Below are 23,150 nucleotides of genomic sequence, written 5' to 3'. Positions count from 1 at the left end.
CTCAGGTGATCCCCCTGCTTCGGCCTCCCAAAGTGCTGGGATTACAGGCATGAGCCACCGCACCCGGCCCAGATGCTAATTTTTATTACTGTGCTTTATGTTAGCTATGAAATCACTTAAAAATTACAAGAAGTCTTACATTTATTTCAGAGAAAATGACAAAAGAGGAAAGCAGGAAACCCATATGCATCCAGGCAGGACTGGGGAAAATGCTGACTTAAAAGACAAACAAGAGCAGCTCGGTACAGGGGAATTCCAGGGACCCACACACGAATGAGAAGGTGGCAAAAGTCAATAACAAGAATTGATTTCAGTGGCTTAATCAACAGAGGTCTCCATTCCCCAACAATTTCAAGTACCTTTTTTTTTAAATTTTAATTATTTGTTTTTTGTGTGTGTGGTTTTGTTGTTTTTTTTTTTGTTTGTTTGTTTTTGGTTTTTTTTTTTTTTTTTTTTTTTTTTTTGAGACAGAGTCTCGCTCTGTCACCCAGGCTGGAGTTCAGTGGCGGGATCTGGGCTCACTGCAACCTCTGCCTCCCGGGTTCAAGCAATTCTCCTGCCTCAGCCTCCCGAGTAGCTGGGACCACAGGCATGTGCCACCATACCCGGCTAATTTTTGTATTTTTAGTAGAAACGGGGTTTCACCATGTTGGCCAGGCTGGTCTTGAACTCCTGACCTCAGGTGATCCACCAGCCTTGGCCTCCTAAAGTGCTGGGATTACAGACGTGAGTCACCACGCCCGGCCTCAAATCCCTTTTTTACAGTCTATGAATTTTTACTCATTTTACAGAATTCCAAAATGAGTCCTATGGAAAGATCACAGAATAGGAGATACATCCTGGATTCTAATCTAGGCTCACACTAATCAGCTATGTGAAAACAATTCAGTTAACCTTCCAAAATCTGTATAAGGTTTAGATGATCACTAAGATCCATCTTCAAACCCTAAAATTATATTCTATAGGAGAATTTTATAACTTAAGTGTATCTTTTTCAACACATATGGCCAAAATTTATTAGGACCTGGTAAGTCCTTATGGGAGAACAAAATGCCAAATTATAAAATTGATTCTGGCTCGAGCGTGGTGGCTCACGCCTGTTATCCCAGCACACTGGGAGGTAGAGGCAGGCGGATCACTTGAGGTGAAATCAAGTTATCAAGTCCCTGTGATAACTCAAGTTTATGTTAATAGTCACTTAGACTGGGGCCCCCAACAGTCTCAGCACAGGGCCAGTAACAGGAAAAATCAAGTGATTAGAGGGTATGAACTTTCAGCCCCACCACCCATAGACCAATTGCTGAACACATGAAAGTGCTGGGAGGGTAGTACACCCAGACAGGGCATGGAAGCTCCACACACCACACCACCTCCCCTCACCTAATACCTCACCATTATCAATCTATTCACCTGTATCCTTTATAATAAAATCAGCAAATGTGTTTCCCTGAATTCTTTGAGCCATCCCAACAAATTGTTCAGACCCAATGGGGGTGGTTGCAGAAATCCTGGTTTGTAACCAGTGAGGAGTACTGGTGACTGGGACTGGCTATTGGCATCTGAAGTGAAAGCAGTCTTGTGGGACTGAACATTTAACCTGTGGGATCTGACCCTATCCCAAGCAGACAGTGTCAGAACTGAAATGAATTATAGGATACCCAGGTAGTGTCTGCTGGAGAACTGCTTTGAGGGGGAGAATCCAAATTATGTGGTTATAGAAGTGTTCTGTGTTGAGAGTAGAGAGGAAAAAAAGTGGGGTTTTTTTGTTTTTTTTTCTTTTACACAGGTCTTATAGTCTAGAAAAGTCAAAACACCTATAGGAATTACTTTAAATCAAAATGAACACAGCTTGCCTGAACCAAAAGTATAAATTACTATAAAAAATTTCATAAGTGAAAAGAAATTAACTAGTATTTATGAGAAAGATATTTTTAAATAAACTCTTAATCTGTGTGAAAATTTTCATTTATTTAATTTACTTTTGTAGAGAGGCAGGGTTTCACCATGTTGCCCAGGCTGTTCTCAAACTCCTGGCCTCAAGAGATTCTCCAGCCTCAGCCTCCCATAGTACTGGGATTATAGGTGTGAGCCACCATATCTGACCCAAGAGAGTCAATATGCTTTTTCTGAAAATGGTCATATTCTTAATCATACTGGCTCTTTGCATTCGCATTGTCTCATTATTTAGAGGCAAATATCTAGACAGTTACAGGTAGATCTTTGACCACTTGTAGTTGTGTTTTTTTGTGTTTTTTGTTTGTTTGTTTTGAGACAGTATTTCACTCTTCTTGCCCAGGCTGGAGTGCAATGGCACAATCTCGGCTCACCACAACCTCCACCCTCCCGGTTAAAGCGATTCTCCAGCCTCAGCCTCCCAAGTAGCTGGGATTAAGGTATGCACCACCACACCGGGATAATTTTGTATTTTTAGTAGAGACGGGGTTTCTCCATGTTGGTCAGGCTGGTCTCAAACTCCTGACCTCAGGTGATCCGCCCGCCTCGGCCTCCCAAAGTGCTGGGATTATAGGCGTGAGCCACCGCACCCAGGCAGTAGTTGTTTTATGTTTACACACTAGATCATGCTGGAGGGAAGGCCCATCAAAAAGCTCCCCTAACAAAATAACTTGACCAAAAAAATTGTATTACAACTTTTTATCAGAATACGCCGCTATTTTCCACTTTGCAGACTATTAAAGAAATCACTAGTGGCATATAATCTATCAAAAAAGTCCATTTCTAGCATCTGCTTCAAAAATTTATTCTTAGCACATCTTAAAAATAGACAATTTTAATAATTTGCACTCTCCTTGAATGTCTGTAAATGTACCTGTAAAAAACTATTCTATTTTTATTTATATAAGTTAAATCAACATTCCTTAGTGAGTCCTAATATATAACGATATTGCAAAATTCACATTCCTGAAATTGTAGTCATGAGCCATTCGAGTCTTATTTATATGAAAAAAAAAAAGCGTTCCAGATATATGAAAAGGCTTTGAAAAAATGTTCATAAGGAGAAAGTAAAGCAGGTTATCAGAAGAATAGTACAGAAACACGAAGTTTTCAGATTTTCTTAAATAAATGTTTCTTCATTTGCTATGTGCCCTTAGAATAATTTTCAGACTTTTAGTGTTTTTTGTTTTGTTTTGTTTTTGAGACAGAGTCTCACTCCTTCACCCAGGCTGGACTGCAGTGGCACGATCTCGGCTCCCTGCAACCTCTACCTCCCGGGTTCAAGTGATTCTCATGCCACCGCACCTAGCTAATTTTTGTATTTTTAGTAGAGACGGGGTTTGGGCCATGTTAGCTAGGCTGGTCTCGAATTCTTGACCTCAAGTGATCTGCCCACCTGTGCCTCCCAAAGTGCTGGGATTACAGGTGTGAGCCACCACGCCCGACCACGGTGTTTTGTTTTTTAATCGTTTTCCCCAGTTATACTTGTTCAGACTAAAACTCAATTGCAAGAGTCTGCAGCACTTGAGCTACAACCAGCTACCCTCCCCACATCCAATCTGGGCAGCTGTAATCAAGAAGACAGGTTTCTTCCCCTCTCTCATCTTCTAAACAAGGGGGGTACACCTTACTGGGAGAGGCAGACTGCCAACATTTCTCACCCTCTCCAATTCCAACTGAAGAAGTTAAATTTCTGGTAACTACAGTCGAGAACTCTGGAGCTCCTTTATTCCACCCAACCCCCACTCACAGAATGAAGGCTCTACCCCAGGTTCATCAGCCCAAGAACACTGAGGCCCTAATTGCTCTTGCTCCAGCTATCTAATAGGGCAGTAGTTTCACACTGGAAAAACTCAGATTCAGGCTATTGCTCCACCTAGCGCGTGGAGTAATGACTCAAAGATTTTGCCAAGGGTAAGAAGCAGTCTCTCAAAGGAAATAACTTTATTCAAACACTAACAGCCCTCTCAGAAACAATGGAGATACTGGTAGTGAGAAAATAAGAGGCTCCTCTCCATGAAGAGCAATAAGCTGAATAAGCAATAAGTAGTTTCACACTGGAAAAACTTAGAAGATTCAGGCTATTGCTCCACCTAGCACGTGGAGTAATGACTCAAAGATTTTGCCAAGGGTAAGAAGCAGTCTCTCAAAGGAACTAACTTTATTCAAACACTAACAGCCCTCTCAGAAACAATGGAGATACTGGTAGTAAGAAAATAAGTAGCTCCTCTGCATGAAGAGCAATAAGCTGAATCACAGGCCAGCTAGTTCTGAATGAACCTGAGAAAGAGATACGTAAGGAGAGCCCTACTAGGGTCAGAACCAACCTCAGGAGACTGGGCCTCAAAACTACACCTGCCATAACTAAATTGGATCAGAGCATGGATCAAATTTAGGCCCTTCAGGCATTAATGAAAACAATAGAGCAATCAGCTGGGAATTAATGGAGCCTAACGGATGGGTTTGATATCAAATGAGGCAAACAGCTTTACAGAAAGATGGGGAAAGACACAGAAAACTCAGATAAATCACCCTCATCCCAAAGTGACTGTGCACAAACCCTTTACTCTGCACCTCAATCATTTTACTTTCCCTCATAAAGGAGATCAATATTTAAAATGAGTACAGCAGGGACTAAGAATAATTCTAAATCACCACATTCATGGAATTATGAACAAATTAGATAATGTTCAGCAAAGCACTCTGCAAACTGAAGTACATCATGTATGGTGGATATCATTAACAAGTCAATCCATGTAAGAGTAAAAAACAGTATAGAAAAAGGTAAGATGCTCTGTTCAAAGTATATGACTGGTAAGAATTAAAATTTGTGAAACTCTGATTACTACAAAAGACAACTTTGAAATAAATGGCTTAGTGTACGCTGATGGTGTAATAAAAACTGACTTGTTAACTAATAGAACAGGCTGGGCACGGTGGCGCATGCCTGTAATCCCAGCACTTTGGGAGACTGAGGCGGGCAGATCACTTAACGTCAGGCGTTAGAGACCAGCCTAGCCAACATGGCAAAACCTCACCTCTACTATTAATAAAAATACAAAAATTAGTCAGGCATGGTGACCCACACCTGTAATCCCAAATACTCAGGAGAATGAGGCAGAAGAATCGCTTGAACCCAGGAGGTGTAGGCTACAATAAGCCAAGATCATGCCACTGCAATCCAGCCTAGGCGACAGAGCAAAGCTCTGTCTCAAAAAAAAAATTTTAATAGAGCCAACAAATTAAATAACTTAGATGTTAATATAAATGTTTTGGGTTTTTGTTTTTGTTTTGTTTTGTTTTGAGACAGTTTCGCTCTTGTTGCCCAGGCTGGAGTGCAATGGCGCGACCTCAGCTCACCACAACCTCTGCCTCCCAGATTCAAGTGATTCTCCCACCTCAGCCTCTTGAATAGCTGGGAATACAGGCATGCACCACCACGCCTGGCTAATTTTGTATCTGTAGTAGAGACAGGGTTTCTCCATGTTGGTCAGGCTGGTCTTCAACTCCTGACCTCAGGTGATCCACCCACCTCAGCCTCCCAAAGTGCTGAGATTACAGGGGTGAGCCACCGCGCCCAGCCACAAATGTACTTCTCTGCAAAGATATTATTACTCCTCCATGACTTAATTACATTTGTGTAAAAAATGAATGCAAGAGAAGCAGACAGAAAGAAAGATGCAGAAAGAGTACCTTTGTTGATGATGGTGGAGTAGGGAAATTAAGCCAGGCTGGAGCAAAGTCATGCTGCGCCATTTAGGTCCAGTCTCTCCAACTCAGTGAAACAAGGCTTCAACACCTCATGGCAAGTCCCTGTCACATAAAAATGGAAGGAATTAGACCTGCAGCTCCTGGCCAAAAATTAGCGCCTTTATATTACAATGATCTTACTACTTACTACTATAGGATTCTATTTATAATGAAAATCTAGAAAAGACAAAACTATAGAGATAGAAAATAGATCAACTTGGAAGGGGGATGACTGCAAGAAAGAAGAGGGAATTTTCTGGGTAACTGAGTATTATCTTGATTGCGGTGGTTATTACAACTGTACACATTTGTCAAACCTCAAATTATAAACTTAAAACTGGTTTTTTCATAAAGTATACCTCAGTATAGCTTTTATTAAAAAGTCAAATAGACAACTAGACATCAAATGTTTCCTGATATAACCCAAAATGAAATACAGAGTACCATCTATGATGTAGTCTTGTGCCCACCTAAAATAAAATTTGAAATCTGATTTAACTACCAATTAGCAGTACATTCAAGATGGAGAACAAGTTAAAGGACATCTGGGGGAAGTGATAATCTAAAGGTTAAATGAACTGGTTTCTACGACAAATAGTGGCTTTTAATGGGCAGATGAACTAAGAATCCTTTATGTGAACAAATCAATCTTAAAAAAAAAAAAAGAAAATTATGAAACAATCAGAACTTTGAACATAAGCTGGATATTATTAAATGGCACTAAGGAATAATCACTTTAGATGTGATAATGGTGTGGTGGTTATGATGTTTTAGAAGGAAGACACCGGCCAAGTGCAGTGGCTCATGCCTGTCATCCCAGCACTTTGGGAGGCCGAGGAGGGCAGATCACCTGAAGTCAGGAGTTCGAGACCAGCCTAGCCAACATGGTGAAACCCCATCTCTACTAAAATAAAAAATTAGCTGGGCATGGTGGTGGGTGCCTAAATCCCAGCTACTTGAGAGGCTGAGGCGGGAAAATCACTTGAACCTGGGAGACAGAGGTTGCAGTAAGCCAAGATCACGCCACTGCACTCCAGCCTGGGCAAAAGAGCAAGGCTCCCTCTGAAAAAAATAATAAAAAAAAAGACATATACTCAAATCTTTACAACTAAATTGATGATACATCTGGACTGTTCTAAAATAAACCAGGGAATGGTCCCGGCATTGTGGCTCACGCGTATAATCCCATCACTTTGAGGGAGGGGGCTGAGGCAGACAGGTGGATCACTTGAGGTCAGGAGTTTAAGACCAGCCTGGCCAGCATAGTGAAACCCTGTCTCTACCAAAAATACAAAAAAAATTAGCTAGGTGTGGTGGTGTGCGCCTGTAATCCCAGCTACTCAGGAGGCTGAGGCAAGAGAATTGCTTGAACCCAGGAGATGGAGATTGCAGTGAGCCGAAATAGAGCCACTGCACTCCAGCCTGTGCAACAAGAGCAAAACTCCGTCTCAAAAAAAAAAAAAAGAAAAAAAGAAAAAGAAAAGAAAGGTTAAGAGTAACCAGATATAAAAAACAAATACAACTAGTTAAAACTGGCAATGTAAGTGAAAATGTTTAAATGCTCAATATGGGCTTAGGGAGAAAAACTCTGATACAACTTGAAAACCTTAAGAGGAATTCCAATAAAACACTCATGAAACAAAATACAGGTTTTAAGACTATGTCTAACCAAAATATACTGCACATCACAAAAATTCAGGTATTCAGAGTCCTATTTATTTCTATTGGCATTAAATGTCAAAGTCTTGTGGAGTAACAATGAAAACTAAGGTGTCTGAAAATTTATAAAAGATTTTCATCTTTTAACATGAAGTTAAATACTAAACGGTGCTTTAGTATTTTAGTATTTAGTATTTAGTATTTACACACTTTTCCAACAACTTCCTGGCCAGAAACTTCAGAGAACTTAACCAAAAATGGGCTGGAATCATGTATAATCCCAACACTTTGGGAGGCTGGGGTGGGTGGATCACAAGGTCAGGAGTTCGAGATCGGCCTGGCCAAAATGGTGAAACCCCATAAAAATACAAAAATTAGCAGGGCACGGTGGTGGGCACCTGTAATCCCAGCTTCTCAGGGGGCTGACGCAGGAAAATCGCTTGAACCTGGGAAGTGGAGGTTGCAGTGAGCCGAGATCGCGCCACTGCCCTCTAGCCTGGATGACAGAGGAAGACTCTGTCTCAAAAAAAAAATTTTTTTTTAATTAAAATTGGTAACAAATTTTCAAAAAGGCATATCATACAAAATGGTAAAAAGTTACGTAATGGCCGAGCACGACGGCTCACGCCTGTAATCCCAGCACTTTGGGAGGCCGAGGTGGGCAGATCACCTGAGGTTGGGAGTTTGACCAACAAGGAGAAACCTCGTCTCTACTAAAAATACAAAATTAGCCGGGCGTGGTGGTGCATGCCTGTAATCCCAGCTACTCAGGAGGCTGAGGCAGGAGAATTGCTTGAACCCGGGAGGCGGAGGTTGCAGTGAGCAGAGATCGCGCCATTGCACTCCAGCCTGGGCAAGGAGGAAACTCCATCTCCAACAACAACAACAACAACAACAACAAAATCCCCGGAGGCAAACCACTAAAATCACCTATTCATTTCTGCAATGTCTTTATATTAACTTTAATTTAAATCTAGTTCTTAAAGTATGGGCCTGGTGTGGAGGCTCACACCTGTAATCCCAGCACTCTGGGAAGTGAAGTGGGAGGCTCCCTTGAGCCCAGGAGATTGAGGCCGGCCTTGGCAACATGGTAAGACTCCCGTCTCTACAAAAAATTTTAAAAACCGGCTGAGTGTGGTGGTCCATGCCTGTAGTCCCAGCTACTACGGAGACTGAGGGAAGAAGACTGCTTGAGACCAGAAGTTTGAGGCTGCAGTGAGCTATGACGCCACTGTACTCCAGCCCAGGTGACAGAGAAGATCCTATCTCAAAAAAAGAAGTTAACTCATGTTCTGAAAAAAGATTTAAAAAAAAAAAAAGGCAGTATTGTTATGGCTATGGCAGTTACACAAGTATATAAAGGCTAATTAAAGTTTCACAAGTTCCACACCACTCATCTTAACTGCATTGTGCCATCTGATTTTGTCTCTTCTTCCTTTCCCTGTGTATGTTATGGGTTGAACTGTGTCCCCCCAACCAACAAGATTTGTATGTTGAAGTCATAGCCCCCAATACCTCAAATGTAGCAATATTTGAAGATAAGGTCTTTAAAGAAGTGATTAACTGCAAATGAGGCAATTAGAGTGGGTTCTATTCCCATCAGACTGTGCCCTTATAAGAAATTTGGACACATGCACAGATAAAAGGACCATGTGAAGAGGCAGCAAGCAGGCAGTCATTTACAAGCCAAAGAGAGAGGTCTCAGAGGCAACCAACCCTCTGCTGATGCCTCTACCCTGAACTTAGAACCTCCAAAACTGAGAAAATAAATGTCTGTTGTTTAAGCCACCCAGTCTGTGGTATTTGGTTATGGCAGCCCTAGTAAACTACAAACAACTTTAGAAATAGACCAACTAAAATGTTTATGTATTAAATATTTCCTTTACACATACACAACAACCAGGTACATACAGGAGACAACTACCCTCCCCCTCAAAAAAGGCAAATCAACAGTCCTACTAACAACTCAGGAGTCAGGATTCCACAGCTTATTAGAAATCTTCTACTGGCCCCCCAATACTAAATTTGACTGGCTTAAAAAAATTTTTTTTAAGAAATCTACTGGATTCTGTCATATCTGAAGGTCCCATGTGGACATAAAGAGTTTAAGATACACAAATACTGCTAGTATGAAAACCCTAATTTTTTTCTCTGTCACCCAATTTACAATTTATTCACGACATCCATGAAGAATAAAAATTTCCCCGGGAGAAAGCTGGTTCTGAAAAAAATAAAACCTAAGTGTACATCTTTAAGTGCACATGCCTGACTTTTAATTTTTAAAAAAAGATTATTCTTCAGACTGAAAAAGAATACACTTTGGCAAAAAATACAAATAGATGAGACTTTTTTCTCTTTCTTGTTATGTTTTATTTCTGACCCTACCAAATTTGTGCCACGTTTTCAAAGAAAAACTTACTCAAATTGATTTCATCAGAATAACAAACTTACTGTCTTTATAATGATTTCAGAAAACTTTAAAATAAGCTTTAAAATCACAAAGACCATCAAAAACACCCAAAATCAACCAATAGCTAAGGAATTCTAACTACAACCAAAGTACTGAGTAAAAATCCTCAATGAAATACCAGTAAACCAAATCTAGCAGCATATTAAAAGGATTAAACACCATACAAAGTAGTATTTTCCCAGGAATGCAAGAGTGACTCAACATACAAAAATCAATCAATAATACACCACATTAATAACATGAAAGAAAAATACCAAACGATCATCTTAATTGATGCAGAAAAAGCATTTGACAAAATCTAGCACCCTTTAATTATAAAAATACTCAACAAACTAGAAACAAGAAGGAAACTTGCTCAACCTGATAAACAGCATCTATTAAAAAAAACCACAGCACATCATCCTCAATGGTGAAAGACTGAAAGCTTTCCCCTTAAGATCAGGAACAAGACAAGAATGCCCTGCTTTCACAAGCTCTATTCAACACTGTAGTAGACGTTCTAACCATAGCAACTAGGCAAGAAAAGAAATGAAAGGCATCCTGAGCCACCACAGTGCAAAGCACCTGTAGTCCCAGATACTTGGGAGCCTGGGAAGGGAGAAGTGCTAGAGCCCCACAGTTTGAGGCTGTAGAGTGCTATAATGGCACCTGTGAAAAGCACTACACTCCAGCCTGGGGAACATAGTGAGACAGTGTCGTATTTTTTTAAATGGCATCCAAATTGGGAAGGAAAAAGTAAAATTATTCCTATTCACAGATTACATGATCTTACATAAATTCTAAAGAGTCCAGAAAAAATATGTATTAGAGCTAATTAAATTCAGGAACGCTGCCAAGATAGAAGATCAACACACAAAAACAGCTGTTTGTGTATACACTATTAACAATCCAAAAAAGAAATTAGGAAAACAACTCAATTCGCAGTAAAATCCAAAAGCATAAAATACCTATAATAAATAAATATAACCAAGAAAATGTTAAGACTTGCACACCAAAAACTATTAAGACAGTGCTGAAAGAAATGTTAAAAGACCTAAACAGAAAGACATCCCTGGCCCAGCACAGTGGCTCAAGCCTGTAATCCCAGCACTTTGGGAGGCCCAGGCAGGTGGATCACATGAGGTCAAGAGTTTGAGACCAGGCTGGCCAACATGGTGAAACCCCATCTCTGCTAAAATAAAGTATTAGCTGGGCATGGAGGCAGGCACCTGTAATCCCAGCTACTTGGAAGGCTGAGGTAGGAGAATCGCTTGAACCCAGGAGGCAGAGGTTGCAGTGAGCCGAGATCACGCCATTGCACTCCAGCCTGGACGACGGGGTGAGACTCTGTCTCAAAAAAAAAAAAAAAAAAAGAAAAACAAAAGACAGATATCCCTGTGTTTGAGGACTGGGAAACTCAACACTGTTAAGACAACAACACTACCCAAACATGATCTACAGATTCAACGTAATCTCTATTAAAATTCCAACACCCGGCCAGGCTACAGTGGTTCACGCCTATAATCCCAGCACTGTGGGAGGACAAGGTGAGCAGATCACTTGAGCTCAGTGGCTCAGGACCAGCCTGGGCAACATGGTGAACCCCGTCCCTACTAAAAATAAAAAAATCAGCCAGGCATGGTGGCTCGTACCTGTGGTCCCAGCTACTTGGGACACTGAGGCGGAAGGATTGCTTGAGCCCGGGAAGTGGAGGTTGCAGTGAGCCAAGATCACACCACTGCACTCCAGCCTGAGCAACAAAATGAGACTCTATTGATATGGAGGGAGGCAAGGAAGTGCTGGGAAGAAAAGGGCATGGTCCCTGGCTAGGGCTCCAATCCCCTGAGAAAGAGTAAGACCCTACTGATACAGAAGTGTGCAGGCAAGCGCTGGGAAGGGAAGGGCATGGTCCCTCGCGAGGGCTCCATCCCCGGTTCTGTGCCCACGGATCTAGGTGAGGACAGGCATTTCTGTTTTCCTGACCAAATGATGCATTTCCCAAGACCACTCTGCCAGTCACACCCCCATCGTGTGCCTATAAAACCCTCAGAGACTCTAGTAGGCAGAGACACAAGTGGCTGGACGTCATCGAGAGGGACATATCGGCGGAAGAACACACAAATAGCTGGATGTCCAGGGAAGCATGCCAGTGGAATACCACACTGACAGAAAGCAGGCTGGCAGGCCATCGACCAAAGAAGGGCATGAAGTTTGGCTGGGTTTGGCTGGTGCGGTCAGAGGAGAGCCCAGGTCACTGAGCTGCAGGACTCCAGGGGAAAACACCCTCCCACTCCATCTCCCTCCTGGCTTCCCATCCATCTGCTGGAAACTTCCACTCAATAAAACCTTGCACTCGTTCTCCAAGCCCACGTGTGATCTGATTCTTCCCATACACCAAGGCAAAAAAGCCCTCTGTCCTTGCGATAAGGCAGGGCATCTAACTGAGCTAACACAAGCCGCCTATGGATGGCTAGACTAAAAGGGCACCCTGTAACACATGCCCACTGGGGCTTCAGGAGCTGTAAACATTCACCCCTAGGTGCTGCCGTGGGGTCGGAGTCCCACAGCCTGCCCTGTCTGCATGCTCTCCCTAGAGATTTGAGCAGTGGGGTGCCAAAGAAGCAAGGCACACCCCCATCACATGCCCTGCAAAGGGGATAAGAGAACCTTTCACTAAGTTTCACTATTTCAAAAAAGAAAAAAAATCCAACACTCTCTTTTGTACAGAAATAAAAAAGGCTATTCTCAATTTCCTTTGGAAGTGCGAGGGGCCCTAAACATCCAAAAACAATTCAGAAAAAGAATAAAGTTACAGAACTCACACTTCCCTATTTCAAAACTTACTGTAAAGTAACAGTGAGCTGGCCATTTGTAGATCTTCTTAGGAAAAATATTCAAGTCCTTTGCCCATTTTGATTATTTTTCGAGACAAAGTCTCACTCTATCACCCAGGCTGGAGTACAGTGGCACTACCATGACTCAATGCAGCCTCCACCACCTGGGTGCAAACGACCCTACCACCTCATCCTCCCAAGTGGCTGGGAATATAGGCATGCCCCACCACACCAAGCTAATTTTAAAAATATTTTTCGTAGAGATGGGGTCTACGTTGCCCAGGTTGGTCTCAAACTCCTGGAATCAAGCAATCCTCGCACCTTGGCCATAGTGATCAAAACTGTAGTATGGCCTAAGAACAGACATATAAACCAGAAATAAGCCCACACATTTATATCCAAGTTATTTTCAACAAGAGTGCTAAGATGATTCAATACGGAATTGTCTTTTCAAAAAAACAGACTGGACAACTAAATAGCCATTGGACCCCCCTACCCAAACCATATACAAAAATAAACTCAGCTGGGTGCAGTAGCTCACGCCTGTAATTCCAGCACTTTGGGAGGCCAAGGCAGGTGGATCGCTTGAGGTCAGGAGTCCGAGACCAGCCTGGCCAACATGGCAAAACCCAACATGGCATCGTTGTAGGTGCCTGTAATCCCAGTTACTTGGGAGGCTGAGGCAGGACAATAGCTTGAACCCAGGAGGCAGAGGTGGCAGTGAGCCGGGATCGCGCTACTACACTCCAGCCTGGGCAACAGAGCAAGATTCTGTCTCAAAAATAAATAAATAAAATAAACTCAAAATAAATCACAGACCTAAATATAAAAGCAAAAACTATAAAACTCTTAGAAGAAAACAGGGAGATAAAGCTTCCTGACCTTGGATTTGGCAATGAATTCTTAAATATGACACCAAAACCAAGAGTAACAATTAAAAAAAGAAAACAAAAACTGAACTTCATGAAAATTTAAAACATGTGCAAAAAATATTATCTATAAAGTAAAAAGACAACTGACAGAAGAAAATATATGCACCTCATATCTAATAAGGTCTAGTATCCAGAATATATAAAGAACTCTTACAACTCAACAACAAACAGACAACTCAATTTTAAAATGTACAAAGGGCCAAATGCAATGGCTTGTGCCTGTAATCCCAGCACTCTAGGAGGCCAAGGCAGGAGGATCACTTGACCCAGGAGTTTGAGACTAACCTGGGCAACACAGTGAGTCCCTATCTCTACAAAAAAATGTTTAAAACTTAGCCAGGTGTGGTGAGGCACACCTGTATTCCCAGCCACTCAGGAGGCTGAGGTGGGAGGATCGCCTGTGACCAGGAGGTGGGTACTGCAGTGAGCCTTGATAGTGCCAGTGCACTATAGCCTGAGTAGCAGAACAAGATCCTGTCTCAAAAAATATATAAATAAAATAAATAATAAAATAAAAATGGGCAAAGCACTTGAATATTTTCCCAAGAAGATAAACAACTGGCCAATAACCACATAAAATATACTCAGTATCATTAGGGAAATGCAAATCAAAACCACAATGAAATACTACTTCGCTCCCACTAGAATGGCTATAATCAAAATATGAAAAAAAAAAAAAAGAGGAAATAAATGTTAGCAAAGATGTGGAAAAACCAGAACCCTTATATATTGCTGGTGTGAAGGTAAAAGGGTTCAACAACTGTAGAAGTTTGGCAATTCCTTAAAAAGTCAAACACGCAATTACCACATGACTCAGAAATACCATTGCTAGGTATATACACAGAAGAATTGAGAAAGGATGCTCAAATTGTTGTACACCAGTGTTCAAAACAGCACTATTCACAGTAGCCAAAAGGTAGAAACACCCCAAATGTCCATCAATAGACAAAAGAAAATGTGGCATACACAATGAAATCGTAACGATAAAAAGGAATGAATTACTAACACATGCTGAGTATAAACGTCAAAAACAAAGAGAAGCCAGACACAAAAGATCACGTTGTATGCCTCAAGTTATAAGAGGTATTCATAAGAGGTAAATTCATAGAGAAAAAAAGCAAACTGGTGTTACTAGAGACTGTTGGGAGGGTGGAATGCGGGTGACTGCTTAGAGACAGTTTTCTTTTGGGGTGATGAAAACATTCTGGAACTTGATAGAGGTGGAGGCTTGAAAACACTATGAATGTACTAAATGCCAATGAATTGTATGCTTTAAGTGATTAACTTTATGTGATGTTATTTTTACTTTAATAAAAGTAAGTAGAGTACTATATTATAATCTCTTGAATAAATTAAAAAACATAAATCCAGATAAATATAAATAAATGTATGTAAATTTAGGAAACAGGTTATTCTATAATTTCTAAGTACCTCATTCCCCCAAAAAATTAATTGCAGCTTTGCAGTGAAATAGCCTGGCAAATGCACCCTTAATCAACAAATTAAAGTGAACAACATCAGTAACAGGTCAAACTGATATTGTGTGCCTGAACAAAACAAGCACCACTTCTGTAATATTCTAGACCAAAGGTAAATAACCTGAATCTAAACAAGAGAAAAGCCAAACCTGAGAGACACTAACATAACTGACCCAAAATTTTCAGAAGTGTCAGGTTTAAATTCAAGGAAAGTAATTTTTAAAAATCAATCAAGCCAGGCAAAGTGGCTCATGCCTATAATCCCAGCACTTTGGGAGGCCCAGGTCGGGGTATCGCCCGAATCCAGGAGTTTGAGACCAGCCTGGTCAACGTGGCAAAATCCGATCTCTATCAAAAAAATACAAATATTAGCCAGGTGTGGTGGTGCAGGCCTGTTGTCCCAGCTACTCAGGAGGCTGGGGCAAGAGGATGGTTTGGGCCTGGGAGGTGGAGGTTGTAGTAAGCCAAGATTGAGCCACTGTACTCCAGCCTGGGCGACAGAGCCAGACTGACCAAAAAAAAACAAGACAAAACAAAAAAAACAAGCTGTAAAACATGTTTATTCTATTTTTGAGTTACGTGTTTAACTTTTAAAAACTATGACATTTTTATTCCACTGAATTGTTTGCTTCAGTTTTAACATAATTAACGAAACTTTATTAATATTTAGTAGACATCTACTGCATGCTAAGTGATCTACAGACTTCCCTTGTTGATTCTGATTCAATGGTACTTAAGCATTGCATAGAAATCTGTTTTTAAATAAATACTAAGAGTTACGGGTCATCAGATAAGGATGGTAAATGCCCTATTATTCAAAGAAGAAAACACCTGTCTAAGGAACATGGCCTCTAAAGGTAGCAAAAATTCTATTGCTTCCCTATTTTTTAGATGTTTGGTCCAGAAAGAAGTATCCAATGTCTTATCTGTTAGTTACCAAGCTATCTGTTTACAGATCACATGATCTGAAACATGAAACTGCATTCATAAATTTTTAAGAAATCTAGGTTATTAGAAAGTCCCAACATTTGAAAACTTCCATTTTAATGTTCCTCTTATCTGAAATTTGTTAGACTCCATCCTCTTCAGTTTACCTCTTAAGCTGTCAGCACCTTTCTATGCTCTTTTTCTTTTTTCTTTGAGACAGAATCTTGCTCTGTCACCAGGCTGGAAGTACAGTGGTACAATCTTGGGTCACTGGAACATCCCACTCCTGGGTTCAAGCAGTTCTCCTGTCTCAGCCTCCCAAGTAGCTGGGATTACACAGGTGTGTAGCACCACATGGGCCTGGCTAAATTTTTTTGTATTTTTAGTAGAGACAGGGTTTTGCCATGTTGCCCAGGCTGGTCTCAAACTCCTGCCCTCAAGTGATCTGCCCGCCTCGGCCTCCCAAAGTATGAGGAGTATAGGTGTGAGCCACAGCGCCATACCCTTTCTATGCTTTACTTACATTTTTATCATAAAAATCAAAACAGGAAGTTACAAAAATTACTCTATTTGTTAAATTATTCCATATGAAAACTGCTATAAATGTATGTAAGTACATACATACATATACATAAATATGGTACATTCAGCCTCCTAAGAAAAATAAGGTTAAAAAAGCATTATATTCTGAAAACAAATGTTTTTAATTCTCAATTTTTGAGACATATTAAAGATACAACACACAAAATATAATTGAACTTCAAAACTTACAACGAACTTACTTAACTTTCATATAAACTTCACTACAAGAAAATAAGCTTTACTCTCCATAAGGTAAACAAATTTCTACTTATTGAGCTTCTCTTTCCTCACAAACTGAATCTGACTGAGTCATCCCTGAAATTTATTCTAACAGCCTATGGAATCCTTTTTTGTTTTAAAGATTGGCAAGTTTTAATTTAGAAATATATTGCAAACAGTATGAACTCATTGGGATAAAATTTAATTTAAATCAACTCATTTATTGAACAGCTATTAATAATATGAGCAATATGGCCTAAGCAACGGAAGATACAAGGCATAAGAGAGGGCATTCCTGCCTCTAACAGCTTACAATCTAATAGCATTAACAAATAACTGTAATGCAATGTTGCTGCCTCAAATCCTCTTAGAAGTGTAGACAAGCAATTTTTTCTCTGAAATACTTACCAAAAAATGTCATCACTTCGAGGGTTCAAATGATAGATAAGCTTTTTAAAAAAAAAATGCTGCTGGGCACGGTGGCTCATGCCTGCAATCCTAGCACTTTTGGAGGCTGAAACAGGCTGATCACTGCAGGTCAGGAGTTCGAGACCAGCCTGGCCAACATGGTGAAACCCTGAGTCTACTAAAAATACAAAAATTAGCCAAGCGTGGTGGCATGCGCCTATAATTCCAGCTACTCAGGACGCTGAGGCAGGTGAATCACTTCAACCTGGGAGGTGAAGCTTGCAGCGAGCCAAGATCAGGCCATTTGCACTCCAGCCTGGTGACAAGAGTGAAACTCCATCTCAAAAAACAAAAACAATGCTGGAGCCAGGCCCACTGGTTCATGCCTACAATCCTAGCACTTTGGGAGGCCAAGGCAGCCCGACTGCTTGGGCCCAGGAGTTTGAGACCAGCCTGGTCAACATGGTGAAACCTCGCCTCTACAAAAACTAGCCGAGCGTAGTGGCATGCACCCGTAGTCCCAGCTACTAGGAAGGCTGAGGTGGGAGGATCACCTGAACCTGGGAAGTCAAGGCTACAGTGAGCAATGATCGCTCCATTACACTCCAGCCTAGGCAACCAAGTGAGACCCCATCTCAAATTAAAAAACAAAGCCAGACTGACTTAAATTTAAAAAACGCAGAATTATGAAAGATTAAAGTAATTTGCCCCTAAGCTACAAGAGCCAATAAATGACAGAAACTAGGTAATGTGAACCCAGGTACCCCCACCTCAAAAGCCCACTTTTTCACTACAGTATCTCTCTCAAACTTTCCCACAGCAATTACTGAATGTTAACAAACCCATTCTCCTGACCCCTCCAAAGACATTTTTCAGAAAGTAACCAAATAACCCGTCTTCAAGACCTGTTTAACAAGTTAATGAAATTTCTGCATTGCACTACAATATCCATGTGTTTTAATATAAAAAAGAATGTTTACTTACTATCAAGTAAAATAACCTTACAGCAAGAGGCCACCTTAGGTGTCGGCTACCCTAGGTGTTTCTTAAGCAATTTGTATAAAAAAACACTGCTGAACTATGTAAAATCCTAGAGATGGCTTAGTTCAACATGGACAAAAATAAGGCTACATGACTATTATATTATCAAAAAGAACTATCTGGCCAGATGCAGTGGCTCACGCCTATAATTCCAGCACTTAGGAGTTCGAGACCAGCCTGGGTGACACAGTGAAACATCATCCCTACTAAAAATTTTTAAAAATTAGGAGACCAATTTGAGTAATAACTCCATCTCCTGTGTGGCATGGGCAGCAATGCATCAATTAAAGTCTTTCTGTACTGGGAAAAAAAAATTAGCTGCACATGGTAGCACACACTTGTAAGTCCCAGTTTCTCAAGAGGCTGAGGCAGAAGGATCACGAGCCTGGGCAACAGAGCAAGGCCCTGACTCAAAAAAAGAGAGAAATACCTAACAATTACCTCATACGATACAGAATTTAACTTTTTAAAAAACAAGGCTCATGGCCGAGCGCAGTGGCTCATGCCTGTAATCCCAGCATTCTGGGAGGCCGAGGAGGGCAGATTACCCGAGATCAGGAGTTCAAGACCAGCCTGGCCAAGATGGTGAAACCCTCTCTCTACTAAAAATACAAAAATTAGCCAGGCATGGGCCAGGCATGGTGGCTTGCACCTGTAATCCCAGCACTCTGGGAGGCCGAGGTGGGCGAATCACGAGGTCAGCAAATCAAGACCATCCTGGCTAACACGGTGATACCCCATCTCTACTAAAAATATAAACTAGCCGCGCGTGGTGGCTAGCGCCTGTAGTCCCAGCTACTTGTTAGCCTGAGGCAGGAGAATGGCGTGAACCCGGGAGGCGAAGCTTGCAGTGAGCGGAGATCATGCCACTGCACTCCAGCCTGGGCAACGGAGTGTATCCCTTAAGATACAAAAGTAAGTTTTGTTATTTAAAATTTTCAGGCCAGGCGCAGTGGCTGACACCTGTAATCTCAGCATTTTGGGAGGCCGAGGCGGGAGAATCACAAGGTCAGGAGGTCGAGGCCAGCCTGGCCAACTTGGTGAAACCCTGACTCTACTAAAGATACAAAAAATTAGCCAGCCATGGTGGCGCATGCCTGTAATCCCAGCTACTAGGGAGGCTGAGGCAGAAGAATCACTTGAACCCAGGAGGCAGAGGTGGCAGTGAGCCGAGATCGTGCTACTGCACTCCAGGCTGGGAGACAGTATGATACTCCATCTCAAAAAAAAAAAAAAAAAAAAAAAAATTCAAACTTATTTACTCAAGACACAAAAACTACAATGCTTTATGTTTTGTTTTAATTAAACAGAAAATGAAATTACCTTCTCAAGCACTAACATAGAAAGAACATGGAATTTATCACCGTTTCTCCCTGCCTGCATCCATGCCTTGGCCAGCAGCATAATTCTAAAACGAAAGAAAGAAAAGGAAAGAGAGGAAGGAAAGGGAAGGAAGCAGGGGAGGGGAGGGGCGGGGCGGGGACGGGTGAGGCAAGGTGAGGTGAGGCAACAAAGTCACTTTAAGAATGGGCCACAGACAGAGCAAGACTTGTTTCAGAAAAAAAAAAAAAAAAAAAAAAAAAAAAGATTTTCAAGTAAGGGCCAGGCGCAGTGGCTCACGCCTGTAATCCCAGCACTTTGCGGCAGGTAGATCACTTGAAGTCAAGAGTTCCAAAAGAAAAAAAAAAACCACTGTTAAAAATACATCTGAAACCACTAGGTCTAGTCAACCAAACACCACTTAATATATTCCAGGTATACCTAAATTCTAGTAGTATGGGGACAGTAGGGGTTCTTGAACAGCACACAGCAGTATGAGAAATCAGAAGTTAATCCAGCAGGCAAGGGAAGTATTTAGAAGTTTTAAAGTGACGATTACATATCTGGAAGTATGCTTTCAGAAAATAAATCTCAGGGGGAGGGACAGCATTAGGAGATATACCTAATGTAAATGACGAGTTAATGGGTGCAGCACACCAACGTGGCACATGTATACATATGTAACAAACCTGCACGTTGTGCACATGTACCCTAGAACTTAAAGTATAATAAAGATATATATATATATAAAAAGAAAAGAAAAGAAATCTGGTAGCAATGTGTTAAAGGAAGGAGAAGTGTCACCTTTCAATTCTTATCTCCTTCATCCAATTTCCTTTCCAGGGCTAACCCAATACACCACATTACTGGTTTCCCCTGTATCCCTATGGCTGCTCCTCCTCAGTCTCATCAGGTTCCGCCCATCCCTAATGTTCATATATCCCAATGTCTAGTCCCAGTTCTAACACTAATAATATAAAACTGTGAGTCAAAAACTATAAAAAATAGTCAGAAACTAAATAACCACTATGACACAGCTAACTTTTGTTATATCTACAAAACAAGAATATCGCTAGTTTTACTTCACAGGAGTATGATTACGTACAACTATTTTGTATGTTAAAAGAACATAAATATTGTGGAATTGATATAGTAGTATTCTGAAAGAACACAGAAAAGAACTGTACTAAGTGTACCCCGCCATTGTAAATGTACTTCGATTTTGTTTGAGAAATATTTATTGGAGTCCAAATCATGATTAATTCATATTAAATCCTACTTTATCATCATGAGATATAGTAAGATTTTTCCTGTTTAACAGATGCCTATTACCTAAAGAAACAAAATACTTTTAAGCATAAAATTATTGCAACTGCAAAGGCAAACAATATATTCATAACTGGAAAAAAACAAAATGTGAAGCAAATGACACTGAAGTACCAAAAAGAGTTAAATAATTACTAATAAATATTTGAGACAGTCTCACTGTCACCCAGGCTACAACCTCTGCCACCGAGGTTCAAGCAATTCTCCCACCTCAGCCTCCCGAGTAGCTGGATTACAGGCACGCGCCACCATGCTCGGCTAATGTTTGTATTTTTAATAGAGACAAGGTTGTACCATGTTGGCCAGGCTCGTCTCGAACTCTTGACCTCAAGCAATCCGCCAGTCTCAGCCTCCCAAAATGCTGAGATTACAGGTGTGACTGCGCCCGGCCTAATAAATATTTATAAAGAACTATAGAAAACTAAGAAAACTATGATAACCACTACCATAATAGAAATATAAAAATACTCGATTTACACAAGATACTGAACTTGTTTATTCGGTTCATTAGTACCCATTACAAATACAACAGGATTTCAAGTTCATGATGGCATCCTGACTTCAAAGATCCTATTAAAAAAGCAAAACAAAGGAGTTAAAGAATAATAAAGGAATAAAACTGTGATAATGAAAAGGCCATGAGCCACTTCATGAAATTTTTGGAATGACATAAATGAAAGCATAATAACTGATGAAACTAGACAACGAAAGCCAAGGCCTAGAATACATGTGGAAGGTAGAATACAGTGGGAAGCTGATCTGCTCCCTAGAATGCTGAAATGATTTAGGACTGCAAAACTGCAGATACAAAGGAGGGCAGAGTGGGAAATGAGATTGAAAAGAAGTAACTGAAAAATTTGAATGCACAGTTGTCTACATGAATATAAGCAAACACATAAACATAACAACGACACCGAAACAAAAAGGAAAGGTAGATTCTCTCAAACACAAATAAGGAGCTAATATGGGTTCTGGCACCAAAAGATATTTGGCTTTTCAGGGTCCTAGAACATTGACAGCCGTTCAATAAGCACTGCTCACATACACCTAACTCTCAAACAACTTTTTATTGCCTCATTCTTAAATATGAACTAATAATCATCAAACATTTTAAGCAAAGTAGCAAATGAAAGAGATCATTAAAAAAAAACTATGAATAAAAAGGAAACAAAGAATTTAAGAAATAACTAGCAAGATAAATGAATTTTTCAGAACCAAGGACAAAGAACAACTTCTAGAAAGAAAACAACACCTGCCTGGCAAATGAAGAAAAACATGACATCAAGCAAAAAAAATTGAAGCAGGCCAGGCGCAATGGCTCCCGCCTGTAATCCCAGCACTTTGAGAGGCTGACGTGGGTGGATCACCTGAGGTCAGGAGTTCTAGACCAGCCTGGCCAACATGGCAAAACCCCATCTCTACTAAAAATACAAAAACTTAGCTGGGCATGGTGGCAGGCACCTGTAATCCCAGCTACTTGGGAGGCTGAGGCAGGAGAACTGCTTGAACCAGGAGGCGGAGGTTGCAGTGAGCTAAGATCGCACCAATGCACACTCCAGCATGAGCGACGGAGCGAGACTGTCCAAAAAAAAAAAAAAAAAGCAAAATGATATTCTTTTACAATTTTGGGAAGCCTAGGGACTGCTTGAGGAGAGTTCCTGCTCTGAGCATGGAAATAAAGATTCTATAATGATTCTTCTCCTCAAATGGAGGAGGACAATGTGTAGGAAAGCCTTGTAACTGTAAACTACTATATAAATTACTTTTTTAAAAAAAAATGGGCTAGATGTGATGGCCAGGCAGGAGGATCACTTGAGGTCAGGAATTTAAGATCAGCCTGGGCAACATAGTGAAACGCTGTCTCTACTAAAATTCAAAACAGGTCGGGCGTGGTGGCTCACGCCTATATCCCAGCACTGTGGGAGGCTGAGGCAGGCGAATCACTTGAGGCCAGGAGTTCAAGACCAGCCTGGCCAACATGGTGAAATCCCATCTCTACTAAAAATAAAAAAATTAGCCAGGTATGGTGGTGTACTCCTGTAATCCCGGCTACTTGGAAAGCTGAGGCGGGAGAATCGCATGAACCCAGGAGGCAGAGGTTACAGTGAGCCAAGATCGTGCCACTGAACTCCAGCCTGGGCAACACAGCAAGACTCCATCTCAAAAATAATAATAATGATAATAAAATAAAATTCAAAACAATTAGCCAGGCATGGTGGCACACACCTGTGGTCCCAGCTACTTGGGGGGCTGAGGCAGGACAATGGCTTGA

At 41.0% G+C, this 23,150-nt stretch overlaps 1 protein-coding gene across 5 annotated transcripts in view, besides 2 other annotated features; it reads right to left on the bottom strand.

The window, feature by feature from the left end:
* The window catches only part of GPBP1 (GC-rich promoter binding protein 1), a 90,621-nt gene that overhangs the window by 44,840 nt on the left and 22,631 nt on the right, over window positions 1-23,150 (bottom strand). For 4 of the 5 annotated variants that reach the window (NM_001331037.2, NM_022913.4, NM_001127235.2 and 1 more), the window contains one exon: window positions 5,647-5,766. The exons of the other annotated variant lie outside the window; for it this stretch is intronic. In NM_001331037.2, coding sequence (NP_001317966.1) covers window positions 5,647-5,709 — 63 coding nt within the window. In that variant the 5' untranslated portion in view covers window positions 5,710-5,766. Of the gene's footprint in view, window positions 1-5,646; window positions 5,767-23,150 lie in introns of those variants that run through there. 5 annotated transcript variants of the gene reach the window in all.
* Window positions 8,059-8,224: a silencer, noted in NCBI's record as "fragment chr5:56507443-56507608 (GRCh37/hg19 assembly coordinates)". NCBI's record gives its function as "represses an EF-1alpha promoter that drives an FKBP-Casp9 reporter gene in an ReSE screen in K562 erythroleukemia cells {active_cell/tissue: K562}" and the evidence as "EXISTENCE:reporter gene assay evidence [ECO:0000049][PMID:32094911]".
* Window positions 17,094-17,594: an enhancer, noted in NCBI's record as "H3K4me1 hESC enhancer chr5:56498073-56498573 (GRCh37/hg19 assembly coordinates)". NCBI's record gives its function as "activates a minimal SCP1, AML or CMV promoter by ChIP-STARR-seq in primed H9 embryonic stem cells {active_cell/tissue: H9 hESC(primed)}" and the evidence as "EXISTENCE:reporter gene assay evidence [ECO:0000049][PMID:30033119]".

This window comes from Homo sapiens, chromosome 5 (assembly GCF_000001405.40).
Source record: "Homo sapiens chromosome 5, GRCh38.p14 Primary Assembly".
NCBI classification, from domain to species: domain Eukaryota; kingdom Metazoa; phylum Chordata; class Mammalia; order Primates; family Hominidae; genus Homo; species Homo sapiens.
The sequence above is the reverse complement of the archived record's forward strand: the minus strand, read 5'-3'. Positions and strand labels throughout refer to the sequence as shown.